The following is a 14,245-nucleotide window of genomic DNA, read 5'->3' on the forward strand; positions in this document are numbered from 1 at the left end:
TCCCCTCTGGAACATGAATCATCCTTTGTCCAGCATACCACACTGTATATACTACCCACCCACTAGTCACTTAGTAACCCTCTTGGTTACAAGAACAAAAAAAAAGTAGTGTATATAGAGTTTGGTACTATCTGAAGGTTCAGGCTTCCACTGGGAGTCTTGGAATATATGCCCCGTGGATAAGGGGTAATTATAGAGGAGATATATGTGAAACACATAACATACAGCTTTCTCATATTTGCCCAACTTGCCTTCATAGCCACTGTATGAAGAAGTAGAAGACCCAGACTCTTGCTTTATGTTGGTATCAAAAGTCATTTCAGAGTCAGGCTGATCACTCCCAAGTAACCCACTGACTTCTTTACTCCAGCTCTCTGTCTGCTGTTGACTCAGAATGTTACACTTCATTTTCTCCATTGCTGATATAATCATATCTGCAACATAAAAGTGGGCATTTTCCTGCAGAAAAAGAAATCAATTAAAATACAAGCATAATCAACTTTTTCATGGAGGGTATATTAGATTTGAAAAATCAATATGCTCTATTTAAGTGGAATTAATGCATATCAGTATAAATATTCATTTAACTGAGTTATCATAGGTCACTCTATGACTTATAGCACACATTGTCCAGAGACATAGATTCGGCTTACTATAATCAACGGACAACTCAAATTGGATTTCTTGTTATACAAAACCTTAGGTTGGGGGAAGCCTAATGCCAGACATCATTCATCAATCACAGAAAACTTTCCAGCTGAGCACAGGCACGGCCTCGGAACCCTTCTTAGCTTAGTGTTTCTGGCAGTCTCCATCAATCAAATGCTGAAAGGAAACCTATTTGTAATGATTCATCAAATTGAAGTTTCCAGATTTAAATCAGAACAACACTATCTAAAGGATTAAGACTCTATGGTTAAAAAGAAAGAAGATAGCATTCACCTTTTCTACATCAACAGGCAGCACAAATACCTCTGGTGAGAAGGAATTCGAAGAAATGGTTCTTCTACTGACTTGAACAGCACCTGCCAATATAGCAAATTGTTAAAAATGGGGAAAAGGGAGTTTAAAGATTACCTAATAAAATAAAACAATTATAGGAAGTGGCTTTTAAATAATGTAAAAAAATAAGCACAATTCTAGAATAAATTCAGATGACAGGAAAAGAAAGATCTTTCCGATGGCAGGTCTTACAGATATTGCTTTAATGATGATCATTTCTAGGAGAGGCTGTTGGAGTAACTGGGAGGTATCCTCAGCCACCGGAGTGGAGGAGACCAATGAGGAAAAGAGGGTAGAAAGAGAATAGGGTCCTGGGAAATCCCAACAGGGGCTGGGGTAAAGTGAGAAGCCACAGTCCAAAAGCAGGGTCCTAAGGATTATGAGATCGCTTCTCTAGCTCATTGTGATTGATCTTAAACTTCCTTTCTTCTTCTTCTTTTGAGACAATATCTCGCTCTGTCACCCAGGCTAGAGTGCAGCGGCGTGATCACACTTTAGTGCGGCTTCAACCTCCTGGGCTCAAGCGATTCTTCTACCTCAGCCTCCCTAGCAGCTGAGATTACAGGTGCCACCATGACCAGCTGATTTTCTAAATTATTTTTGCAGAGATGGGGGTCTCATTAGCTTGCCCAGGCTGGTCTCAAATCACTGGGCTCAAGCTATCCTTCCACCTCAGCCTCTCAAAGCACTGAGATTACAGGCAGATTGAGCCACTGCACCCAGCCCTAAACCTCCTGTCTAGAGAAATAAAATCCATCCAAAAAAGGTCAGCATTGCTTCTCTAAGTTAGTCTTCTTCCAGTCAAAACCAACAAACTGCAGAAGGTACATTCTGCTGACACATCCATTCCTGCACCCTTAGCCACTCCATTACTGGCAATGACCACCATCAAAACAAACATTTTTTCTGTCATGTGATTTCTTACTGCAGCATTTAAAGCAAAAATTTCTGTGTCAAGAGCTGAGATGTCCCAACCTGCTAAATTAGAACAAAATGCTGCACATGGTGGTGACACAGCTCTCAGCATGATGGAGTTGCAAGCAGAGTCATTCAAATCCCTTGCTTCATGTTCAAGAAAGTAGTTGTTGCATGGAAAAATTTGGACTTCTTAGCTTCAGAAGCTATGGCTGGCAAACTTTTCCTGTAAACAGCTAGCTGGTATATATTGGAGGATCTGAGAGCCATACAGTATCTGTTTCAACCACTCTCTTCTGCCGCTGTAGTGAGAAAGCAGCTATAGACACAAGAGAAATTCATTTATAAAAACAGGAAGCTGGCAGGATTTGGTCCACAGGTCATAGTTTGCAGACTCTGAGTATAGAGGAAAGAGCACAGAGAAGAATCGGAACAGAGTGGATTCCAGTTCCAGCTGTCCGTTCACCAGCTGTGCCTCTGCATCAAAACGCTCTCAGCCCTTAAATTGGGATATTTATCAGGACACTAAGGAGATAAAGGAAGGTGAAAGTGCTTGTAAATGTGTAGTTCCTATGCCAACAAAATAAACTGTGGAATCCCTTCCTACAGCCTTAAGAAATGCTTACAGAGGCCGATAGTCTTTCCCTAAAGTATTTTCTGAAAAAAGAAAACCCTTTTGCCGCCATCTGAGATGCAGCGGTCATAGGAATGTCCACATCTTAGTGGCCAATGGCTGTTTTCCCTATTGCTGCCTCCGCACCAGAGAAAGAAAGAACCAGATCACTCAAGGCTTCTTTTTCTTAATCTTAAAGAATGAATCCCCTTACTGAGTTTAAGAGATATTCTCAAAACATTCCGTGAGTTGTTTCTAAAGGCACTGACAGGAGCTGTTGGGAGTCCTTGTCTTTGGGCAAAAGGGGCTGGGGTATCTGTTTTCTTTCTGAGTAAAAGAAAAAGCTAAAGGATAATTTTAAATTGTAGAACTACTTCCTGTACCATGATAGAATAAAAAGTTTCAGGCAAGGGTATGCTAGGCCCCAAAGATCATCTTCAGTTTATTATAACTTGTCATTATGGTGGTTCTCTGTTGGGGAGAGGGCTTTCCTCTATAAGACAATCTATTAAGACTAATCTCTCACTTAGCCACTACTAAATTTGCAAGTCACTCTTAATCCTTAGAACTATCCAAGCAAGTGAGCAAAAAAATAGGAAAAAAAAAAAAAAAAGGCCTGTAATCAGTCTTGTCATTTTGCTCAAACTTGGTCCTTATCTCAAAATTAACCATTGAAAGATTGTCCAAAATTTGTTCTTCTTAAGCAATGAATAAATGTGTTAAAGACTGTCATCATCTTTGATTGCTCAAACATTTCCAAAAGAACACATAAACTCCATATTTTAGGTAAGGGGGAAGATGAGCTCCTGCTAGTGAGAAATAAATATACAGAGAAATAGACAGGCAGGCAGCAGGCAGACTGATGACTTTTTAAATTGCTTTGAAAGAAAAAGCTTCATTGATTATTTATACTAGGGTTTGAATAGAAATGTAAATTAATAATGACAAGTGTGACTATAACAAATATTTTAAAATGAAATAAACATGTCACAGATTATAACAATAATAGCTAATTTATTGACTCTTGAGTAGTACTTCGCACGGATTATCCAATTTTTAGGAATTTTAGGGTCTTAGGAATATGTACATTACTTCATAGCAGTGAGAGCCCTTGTTTTAATAAAAAGGGGTTTTGTATAGTCTTCAGGGGAAACTGTAGTTATTGTTTAAAAATCTTACCATTTTCCTGTCAGATTCTATACAGGTAAATATAACAAGTGAAGTGACTTCACCACCTACTAGGTACTGGTGTGAAATGCAGACCCCGTGGCTGTCTGGAAACACCTCCAACCTCCACACTGACTTGAGAGTGCTTCCGATGCTCTCCCCTGTAGACAATTTAATGAGCTCTAAGTTCCTGAAGGCAGACGCCAGCTTAAAGATGGCACATGGCACTGATTATCAACTACATTAAGCTAAAAAGATAACAATTCTCTGCAGTCTAAGGAGAAAGCCAATATTTGATTTCACCTGTTGTGACCGCCCAGATGGCTGGGCTGCTGACAATATTAGATGAGGCAATGCATTGTCCCATGGGGAAGACAACAAGGCAGGCTTTAGAGCAAGGCGAAGCAAGGGTGTGAACAGAGAGGAATGAGGGAGGTCACCTACTAAAATTACCTTCATCAGCAGCAGATGTCAGATGGGAAGGCTCAAAAAAAGCACTGTCAGTCTCAGGATATGGGGAGGTGGCCAAAATCCCAGGGCTTGTGGGCAGAGACACCCGATGAGAGTATCCTGGGCGGACCATGTGTACCTCTGTTGAGGACAGAGAGAAGCTGCTACTCTTTTCACTCGAGCCATGGGGAGAAGCGCTGCCAACGGAGTCTGTGGTATCCTCAGACAACGTTGTCTCTGCCAGGGAGTCCCCGAGGCACGAAGGTGAAGGGCCTGAGGGAGAGGCAGCATCTGTCACAAAATGGGTCCCACTGTTCCCTGCTGCTGGCACCTGAGATTGCAAGTCCTGCGGCTGTTGCTGCACATCCTGGGGGTTAATCCAGACAGCTTTGTGCCTCATGAGCCTGATGTCTAATTGGCAAGGAGGATGGTCAGTGTTCAGGAGTCTGGGCGAACCATCAATAATGCCAGAGTGATCGCTGATCCCTTCCCAGGGCTCCACAGGAGAATCCTGCCTGACTGTAGATTGTGACACCATCTTTCCAGGCTTGTGGCTGGTGTGAATCCATTCAAAACAGATAGGAGTTCCCTGATTGCTGGTACTACTTGATTTGGGCCCTGAACTCACCACATGGCCAGCTGGGGGTCTGGAGAGCTATTCTGCAATGAGCAAGGAATCATTCAAAATAAGTAAGAATTCAATTGTATTTTGGCTACAAATTATTTTGAGATGGCAAAACCCAAAAAATTTAGAAGTCTGTACTTGGCTCTATCCAACATAGTAAAGCCCGCTTGGATTTATAAGTGAAAAAATAAATAAATCAGCCATAAAACTAGCAGTAAACCTACAGAGGCTTGACATTGGGAGAGGAAACATTCTTCAAAGCATAAAATTAAGAAATCACAAAGGATCAACTGATAAATCCCATAAAAATGTAAAACATCCATGCATCAAAATTATTTTAATAAAATTAAATGTCAAATCCAAGACAGGAATACTATCTGGAAGTAAAGACACATTTCCACATTTTCTTTCTTTCTTTTTTTTTTTTTAAACACAGAGTCTCACTCTGTCACCCAGCCTGGAGTGCAGTGGGGCCATCTCGGCTCACTGCAACCTCCGCCTCCCAGGTTCAAGCTATTCTGGTGCCTCAGCCTCCCGAGCAGCTGGGATTACAGGCACGTGCCACCACGCCTGGCTGATTTCTGTATTTTTAGTAGGGACGGGGTTTCACCATGTTGGCCAGGCTGGTTTCAAACTCCTGACCTCAGGTGATCCACTCGCCTCAGCCTCTCAAAGTGCTGGGATTACATGCATGAGCCACTGCGCCCAGCCATTTCCATATGTTCTTATTTTCATTTAGTTTGTTCTTGTGTTTCAACAAAGTAGGCAAAGTGGTACATAAAACAGAGGGATGATCCATAGCACTGAAGACTTTGCTTCATGTAACTTATATTACCTTTCATACTTATAATATCAGTATCAATGTATTCTCAGTTCATAACATTTAAAGAACACAGTATGAATCTAGAACCCATCTTTAAAACCCACTCACTTCTAAGCTCAGATTTTAGCTTTAGTGAAGACGTAATGATTAAAATGTTGAGAGCTACACAAACAAGAAGCACTCTTGTCACTGTAATTACAGGCTCGGGAAATGTTTTGCTTTTCTGTTCTTCCACTGCCCTCTGCATTGTGAAGCTAAAAGCAACTTTCAACAGCAAAAAGCAAGAAGAGACAGGGGAAGGCCTAGAGATAGAAGGGTGGCCTATGCCACATTCACCCTGCACAGTGGTGAACAGGAGACTTTGGAGTCAATTACAGGGCTGTAAATACCATTGCTGTGCATGCAGGCAACTCCCACATGTATCTCTATTTCTGATTTCCCGGCTAGCAAATCTTATTGCCTATTTGACATCTGTCCAGTGGGCACTGCAACCTGATACATCCAAAACAGTCACTCACTTCTCCTGAAACCTGCTCCTTCCCTGCTTTTCCCTCTTCCAATTGCCCAAGCCTGAAACTTAGGAGTCATTTCTGATCCTATCTTTCCTTAGCTCTCCAACTTCATTCCATCAGCAAGTTTATAGCTATAGCTGCTGTCTTAGTCTGAGTTACCGTCTTCTCACACCTGGACGTGCAGCCATAGCTTCCCAATAGATTTCTCTGCTGTTACTCTTGCCCAGGCTGGAGTGCAGTGGCACAATCTCGGCTCACTCCAACCTCTGCCTCCCAGGTTCAAGCAGTTCTCTGCCTCAGCCTCCCAAGTAGCTGGGATTACAGGTGCATGCCACCACACCCAGCTAATTTTTGTATTTTTAACAGAGACGGGGTTTCACCATGTTGGCCAGGCTGATCTTGAACTCCTGACCTTGTGATCCACCTGCCTCAGACTCCCAAAGTGCTGGGATTACAGGTGGGATCCACCGTGCCCGGCCAGTAACACCGTGTTTTAACACCCAGAGGGGTGCGCCGTTCCTAGGGGTACAGCAATACCAAGTTGATGCATGGAGTGGACGGAGCAAGCTCCTAGTCCATGTCCCTGCTCCAAAAATCCATTTAATATATTGTCCTCGGATAGAGGACATATCAGATATTAACTGATAAGAACAGATACTACACTTGATCTTAGCCAAAAGGCCGAGAAGCGATTACTCTTGCCCATTTATAATCAAGAGGTATTCAAGAGATCTTTTATAAACCTAAATCAGATCATGTCATTGCCCTAATCGAAATCCCCCAAAGGCTTCCCATCAAATCTGGAATAAAATCCAGACTCCTTACCTTGCCCTCAAGGCCTGACATGATGCTGTCCCTGTAAACCTCTCTCACTTATCTTCATCCAGCATCCATAAGCCCCAACCACACTGCAAGTTATTGAACCCTATAGGCTCCTTCTAACCCTAGGAATGCTGTTTTATGTTTCCTCTTTCTGAAATGCTCCTCCCCCAGATGATGACACATCTGGCTCCTTCCTGTCATAAATGCCTTGATTTATAAATTACTTCCTCAAAGATATCTTTCCTAACCACCTTTCTGCTTAAGGTAGTTCCCCCATCATTACCTCTCACATCACCATAAACATTTAGTTTTCGTCACAGAGGTGCTCACTTCCTGCTATTTTTTAGTTCATTACCGCCATTCTCCCCCTACTCCCACCTAACTGTAAGCTTCATGAGAGGAGGGGCCTTGTCTGTTCCCTGCCGGGTAGCATGCCCCATACCTAGAGCTGCATATCAGGGTTCAATAAATGTTTATGAATGGAAAGAACAAATCCAACAAAATGGAGACAAAGTTAAGAGCTAGAGAAAAGACCGGGCGCAGTGGCTCATGCCTATAATCCCAGCACTTTGGGAGGCCAAGGCGGGTGGAGAACCTGAAGTCAGGAGTTCGAGACCAGCCTGACCAACATGGCGAAACCCCATCTCTACTAAAAATACAAAAATTAGCTGGGCGTGGTGGCGGGCGCCTATAATCCCAGCTACTGAGGAGGCTGAGGCAGGAGAATCGCTTGAACCTGGCAGGCGGAGGTTGCAGTGAGACAAGATCATGCCATTGCACTCCAGCCTGGACGACAGCGAGACTCTGTCTCAAAAACAAAACAAAAAAAGAGCTAGAGAAAAGACCTCTGTGGCAGATATAACTGTTCTATTAATGGGGCAGAATTACTCATGTAGGAATAGAAGTGAATCCACATTTCCTAAAACATGAAATTGTTCTCACCCAATAATAAAAGTTCAGTAGACCAAAATAAGGTACATATGAAAACTGTTCTTGAGACTTTGAGTCTCAAGAGTTTTGGAGACTTCTTGATTTGAGGGCCCTATATTTTAGTTTATACCTTCTGGAGTAATAAGGATTATAATTTATACACACACACCCACACAGTTGACCCTTGAACAACATGGATTTGAACTTTGTGGGTCCACTAACATGTGGATTTTCTTCCATATCTGTCACCATGAGGCAGCAAGACTAACGCCTCTTTTTCCTCTCTTCAGTCTACTCAGCATGAGAGGATGAGGATGAAGACCTTTATAATGATCTATTTCCACTTAATGAACAGTAAATATATTCTCTCTTCCTTATGGTTTTCTTAATGACATTTTCTTTCCTCTGCTTTATTGTAAGAATGCTTATATAGTATTATACACTAACATACAACATATGTGTTAATCAACTGTTTATGTTATCAGTAAGGCTGCAGTTAACAGTAGGTTATAAGTAGTGTTAAGTTTTGGGGGAGTCAAAAGTTGTGCGCAGATTTTCAACTGCACAGGGTGTTAGTGTCCCTAACCCCTGCATTGTGAAGGGTCAACTCTATGTGTGTGTGTATATATATATCTTTTGCATATGACATATATTGTTTCTGGAGGCATATAGATATATATATACCTTTGTATATAACATATATTAATATATAAATGCATCTTTTGTATGTAACATACATATATAAACATATACATGCATCTTGAAAACACTACAAAAGCCCCAAATCACCATTCACAAAATATCACAGAGTACAGCTGGTTGTGTTAACCGCCAGAACTCACCAGCCCAAGATGCCTATCTTCCTTCTCCTGACCTCAAATCCCACCTTGTGCACCAATTTCTCTTTGTCACACATCTTTTCGTCTCCAATAATTCTGGATTTTATAATTACAAAAGGAAACCATGACTACATTTTTATAAAATGCCCAAACACAGAAGCCTAGAGTAAAAAGTGAACAGCGCTCATCACCCCAAGCCCCACAATCCTACTTTATTCTCAGAAATAACATTGTTAACCATTCTATTCTTTCTAGACCTTTATCTATGAATTAACGTACATATTTCAGACCAGAAGATATGTTTTCTTTTGTATACACATCCATGGGATCATACTGGAGATATTTTACAACTTATCTTCTTTTTCACTCAACATTATGTCTTGAGGGTCTATGTGATTCTCCTAAACTGTGTTATCACTTTCTATAGTATAAATATATCATACTTACTTAGCCAGACCCTACTGATAGAAATTTATTTTTAGCTTTTTGCAGTTATACAGTTTATAACAATGAACATCCTTGTTCATGTCATTTTTTGGTTGACTTTTTTTAGTTCCTTTCTCTTACTAGTTCCACTCTTAGTCTGAGTCCATAGTTCATGATAGCCTCATTATTTCCAAGAGAATAAAACTATATAAGTAAGTTATGGTTTATCCTCAATTTTCTACACATATCTTTTGTGTGTTTGGTGGGGGGAGATGACTATAGATGTGAAATCACATGAAAAACATGCAGTCTCAAATGGTAAAGCAGTAGTGATTCCAGGTGGTTTTGTTTTTCATTTTGTTTTCTTTGAGACAAGTCTCGATCTGTTGCCCAGGCTGGAGTGCAGTGGCACGATCTCGGCTCACTGCAACCTCTGCCTCGTGGATTCAAGCAATTCTCATGCCTCAGCCTCCCTAGCAGCTGGGATTACAGGTGGGCACCACCACGCCTGCCTAATTTTTGTATTTTTAGTAGAGATGGGGTTTCACCATGTTGGCCAGGTTGGTCTCAAACTCCTGACATCAAGTGATCCACCCAACTCGGCCTTCCAAAGCGCTGGATTGCAGGTGTGGGCCACTGTGCCTGGCTGATCCCAGTGTTTTTTATAAACAAGTTATAGTTAATAGTTCAAAGAGAATGACCTTATTTGGAACTTCCCATACATGGACTGACCTAAGTGAATTGAGCAAAAACCAACGTCCTCATAAAAAACAACCGTCAAAAGCAGGTGCTTTCTTCACTTCCTTCTAGAAAAGTGTTGTTGCTTCACAAAAATAACCAGCAGGTGCTGCTTTGCCAGGTTATAAAATCAAAGCATTGAGAGTTAGAATAGGCCCATAATAGATTCACAACCATGTCTAAGGTCACAGCTGGGCAGTGGCAGAGAGAAGACAAAAGGCCAGGTCGGACACTCACCAGGAGTATGAATTTCTCGAAGAGGCAGATTGACACAGAGGAGAAAGTAATGATTGGAAACCATCAAAGTCCATGCAGTAGTGACAGGAGGTCAATATCCCCATTTTTTATTTTATCTGTAAGGCAAAAAACAATTTGCCAGATGCTATGATACCACTGCCAGGTATGTTACTTGTTGCCATATTGTTTGTAGTGTGTTAGTTATTCAGTTAAGAAATATTTTTTTACTGAGCATCTACTACAGGTCTGGCATTGTTTTTGTTTTGGTAGCACTGGGGTAACAGACGGGACTAAAATAAGCTTCCTGCCCTTCCTCAGCTTATGTTCTGGAGGAAGGGAGATAGTGAATAGACATACATTTATACATTCAGACACACAATCATTTCAAGGATTGATAAGCAGAGATAATACAGGTCTAAGCAATACTTAGCATCTTCTCAACATACTTCCTGCCACTGTCACAAAGGGGGTCCTTTGAATCAGAGATACTTAGGTACAAACAATAAAATCAATTTCCAAAAACATTTAAGGGAAGAGATACCAATCTCAAAGCTTACCATCATTCTTACTGAGATTTTCCAGCTGGGATTAAAAGGTAGGCACAGGCCAGATTACTAGTGAACATATAAGCTGCAGCAAAGGCCCTGGACAAACAAGAGACTTCAGGACACCTCCAGCCAAGTCATTGTGACATCAGAGTCAGTGGCCCCATCGAGAATGATTGCATCACTAGAGCCACCAGAGACACAGTATTAACAGCAAAGATGCAACTTCTGCAGGAGGGATAGATGCCTCAGTGCCACCATGATGCCTACGGTGACCTCACAGAAGTCTTTCAGATCATAAGCAGCCAGCACTTGGAGGGCAGAGCAGCTTTAGCTCCCACTATGTATAACAGTCTTCAAGTTATTTCATGAATAGGCAAAAGTACATCAGATTTAGGTTTTAGGATTTTCTATGCCCCAATACTAACTGCCTATTGAATACACAACTGGGGGCATCAGAGTAAAGACACACCTTAAATCTTACCTTGTCAGTAATGCTTCCTTGGTCACCCTATAAAAACTGGTAATTGCCCCTCCCAAACAGTTCCTATCCCTCTCTTTAGCTCTATTTCTCTCTTTAGCACAAATCTCATTGTATCTAACCTCAATGACTAGTACCCCCCAGAATGTTAAATCTATGAGGGCCCTTTTATTTTTATTTATTTATTTTTTTGAGACAGAGTTTCCATCTTGTTGCCCAGGCACAATCTCGGCTCACTGTGACCTCTGCCTCCCAAGTTCAAGCAATTCTCCTGCCTCAGTCTCCCAAGTAGCTGGGATTACAGGTGCCCGCCACCATGCCTGGCTAATTTTTAGTATTCTGTAGAGACAGGGTTTCACCATGTTGGCCAGGCTGGTCTCGAACTCCTGATCTCAGGTGATCCACCCACCTCGGCCTCCCAAAGTGCTGGGATTACAGGTATGAGCCACCGCAGGCGGCCGAGGGCACTTTTTAAAATAACGTATTTTGGACACTGCTTTGTCCCCAGAACCCAGACCAGTGGCAATAATAGGTGTTCAATAAATATATTCTTTGCACTTATGAATGAAATCATGAACAAATTATCAAACGATACCTAGATATGGTTATGTTGTTTATTTCCTTGTCACCCAAGAAAGGAAGTCAAGAATGGATGTCACCCTTTAGAAGAAATTAGAAATCATGACCTAAATGTTCATCAACCACTTCCTTAGAATAAAGGATACTAGAGAATAGAAATCACAAATAAATAAGAGTCTAGAGTGAAAAGTAAAATTCATTTTTATCAATTTTATGGTACGTTACTAAGCACAGCCAGTAATAAACAAATACTGAGTAGAGCATGAATAAATCTTCAACTGTAGCATGTGAGCTGTTTGGTTACCACAGTTCCCCAGAACTTCTTCCCTTCTTTCTCAGGATCTACTTCTCTTCATGCTTTGACGTTAGGCAAAGATTCACATCCCAAAGAGAATAACAGAGCCTAAAACTATCACATATCAAATAGAAACCATCAAGATGCCCAATAATTTAACTCAACAGCTTCCAAAACAGTGTCCAGGAATTGCAGTAAACTGCAATTTTCTTATTTCATCTATATACTCTATACTATGTTGTAATAAAAGCAGCAGAAAGGAAACAGTGCTATACTGTTTCCCTGGCTGGGTGGTATCACAAAGGACTCCACTCCAGCTGATTTAGCCTTTGGTAATGACCATTAATTTTGAAGGTTTGCTGTCAGAAGAACACAACAGAAGGACAGAAAGCAATCAAGAGAAATGGGTAAGTAAGAAGGGGAAGGCAAAGTTCATGGAAAATTGAATATTTCACCTAAAAGAACTGCAGGGTTGCCCAAAACACCCAAATGACTAACTCCCTCTGGTCGCTGCATATGACGCCCTTCCCAGTCTCATTCTGCAAAGTTATAATTTGCAAAATTTCAGGTGTTATTATGCCAAGTTGAGAACTGAAATGGAGACCATTAGGGGACTTACCCAAAGTCTCGCCATTAGTAATTAGCAGAAGTAGGACAAAAACAAAAGTCTGAACCTGATCCAAAGCTGTTTCCACTGGTATTTCACACATTCCGTGTGGGCTGAAATTAGCAGGCTATTTTCAATTTCATTAGCAAAGTAATTTTAAGAACTTTCCCATCAGACATGTCATAAAATATAGGATTAAGACCTACATAGGTATATTTGATTTCATGCCTCTGGACAATTGTTCACAAAATTTTATTATTATTCATACTTGTATAAAAAAACTTTGCACCACACAGATCTAATATAAGAATATTAATTTATACACCTTACATGTGTACAGCTATGCTAATACATTAGGATACATACAGCATATGTAAAAATAGAATTTTGTTCTTTCTTTCCAATGAATCATCTTACACTTAAAGGTAAATGCCCTCCACTTTGGGGACCACCACTAAATTAACATTCTACCTAAAAACTTTACATATATTAAAAAAAACCAGATTTACATGCAACAGAATTTGATAACTAAGACAGTGAAAAAATATTAATACAGAAATTTACCCAAAGTAAAGGTAGGCAGCTGCACTTGAAAAATGGCTAGATTTCCATGTTTGGGCAAATAAAATGGAAAGCCATATTGGAAAAATGGTCTGACAGTTCCTCAAATACTAAATATACAGTTACCATTTAATCTAATAATTCTACTCCTGGATATATATACCCAAGAGAAATGAGAACACACATTCACACAAAAACTTGTGCCCGAATATTTCTAGCAGCACTATTCATAATAGCCAAAAAGTGGAAACAAATGAAATGACCATCAATTGATGAATTAACAAAGTGTGCTATATCCGTACAATGAAATGTTATTCAACCATCATTAGAAATGAAGTACTAATTTATGCTCTGACATGGATGAGCACTGAAATGACTATGCTAAGTGAAAAAAGCCAGAAACAAAAGACATTTCATATATATATATATATAAAATGTCCAGAATAGGCAAATCCATTGAAATAGAAAGGAGATTCGTGGTTGCTTAGGGTGGTGGGATGGGAACAGCTAAAGGGTACCAGGTTTCTTTTTGAGGTGATGAAAATGTTATAAAATCAACTGTGGTAATGATGGCATATATTTGTGAATACACTGAAAATCACTGACTTGTACACTTTTTTTCCTTTTCTTTTTTCGGTTTTCGAGACGGAGTTTCGCTCTTGTTGCCCAGGCTGGAGCGTAATGGTGCGATCTCGGCTCACTGCAACCTCTGCCTCCTGGGTTCAAGTGATTCTTCTGCCTCAGCCTCCAGAGTAGCTGGGATTACAGGCATGCGCCACCACGCCCGGCAATTTTTGTATTTTTAGTAGAGACAGGGTTTCTCCATGTTTGTCAGGCTGGTCTCGAACTCCTGACCTCAGGTGATCTGCCCGCCTCGGCCTCTGTTGCTCAGGCTAGAGTGCAGTGGCATGATCATGGCTCACTGCAGCCTTGACCTCCCGGGCTCTAGTGATCCTATTGTCTCAGCCTTTAGAGCAGCTAGGACCACAGGTGTGCCACCATATCTGGCCAATTTTTTATTTTTGTAGAGGAAAGACCTCACTATGTTGCTCAGGTTGGTCTCAAACTCCTGGCCTCA

General features: G+C 40.9%; 1 protein-coding gene and 1 pseudogene across 8 annotated transcripts in view, besides 1 other annotated feature; both read right to left on the minus strand.

The window, feature by feature from the left end:
- RUBCNL (rubicon like autophagy enhancer) overlaps positions 1 to 14,245 on the minus strand; it is a 55,362-nt gene that overhangs the window by 33,110 nt on the left and 8,007 nt on the right. For 3 of the 8 annotated variants that reach the window (NM_001286761.2, NM_001286762.3, NM_001349772.2), the window contains 3 exons: positions 4,151 to 4,807; positions 943 to 1,025; positions 252 to 459 (listed from right to left, as the gene is read on the minus strand). In NM_001286761.2, coding sequence (NP_001273690.1) covers positions 252 to 459; positions 943 to 1,025; positions 4,151 to 4,685 — 826 coding nt within the window. In that variant the 5' untranslated portion in view covers positions 4,686 to 4,807. Of the gene's footprint in view, positions 1 to 251; positions 460 to 942; positions 1,026 to 4,150; positions 4,808 to 10,099; positions 10,216 to 14,245 lie in introns of all 8 variants that reach the window. The other 5 variants (NM_025113.5, NM_001286763.3, NM_001286765.3 and 2 more) reach the window with 5 other exon arrangements.
- On the minus strand, positions 6,614 to 6,800 carry RNU2-6P (RNA, U2 small nuclear 6, pseudogene; annotated as a pseudogene).
- Positions 10,926 to 11,005: an enhancer, noted in NCBI's record as "active region_7695". NCBI's record gives its function as "activates an Ori minimal core promoter by ATAC-STARR-seq in GM12878 lymphoblastoid cells {active_cell/tissue: GM12878}" and the evidence as "EXISTENCE:reporter gene assay evidence [ECO:0000049][PMID:35858748]".

This window comes from Homo sapiens, chromosome 13, assembly GCF_000001405.40.
Source record: "Homo sapiens chromosome 13, GRCh38.p14 Primary Assembly".
Classification (NCBI taxonomy): Eukaryota; Metazoa; Chordata; class Mammalia; order Primates; family Hominidae; genus Homo; species Homo sapiens.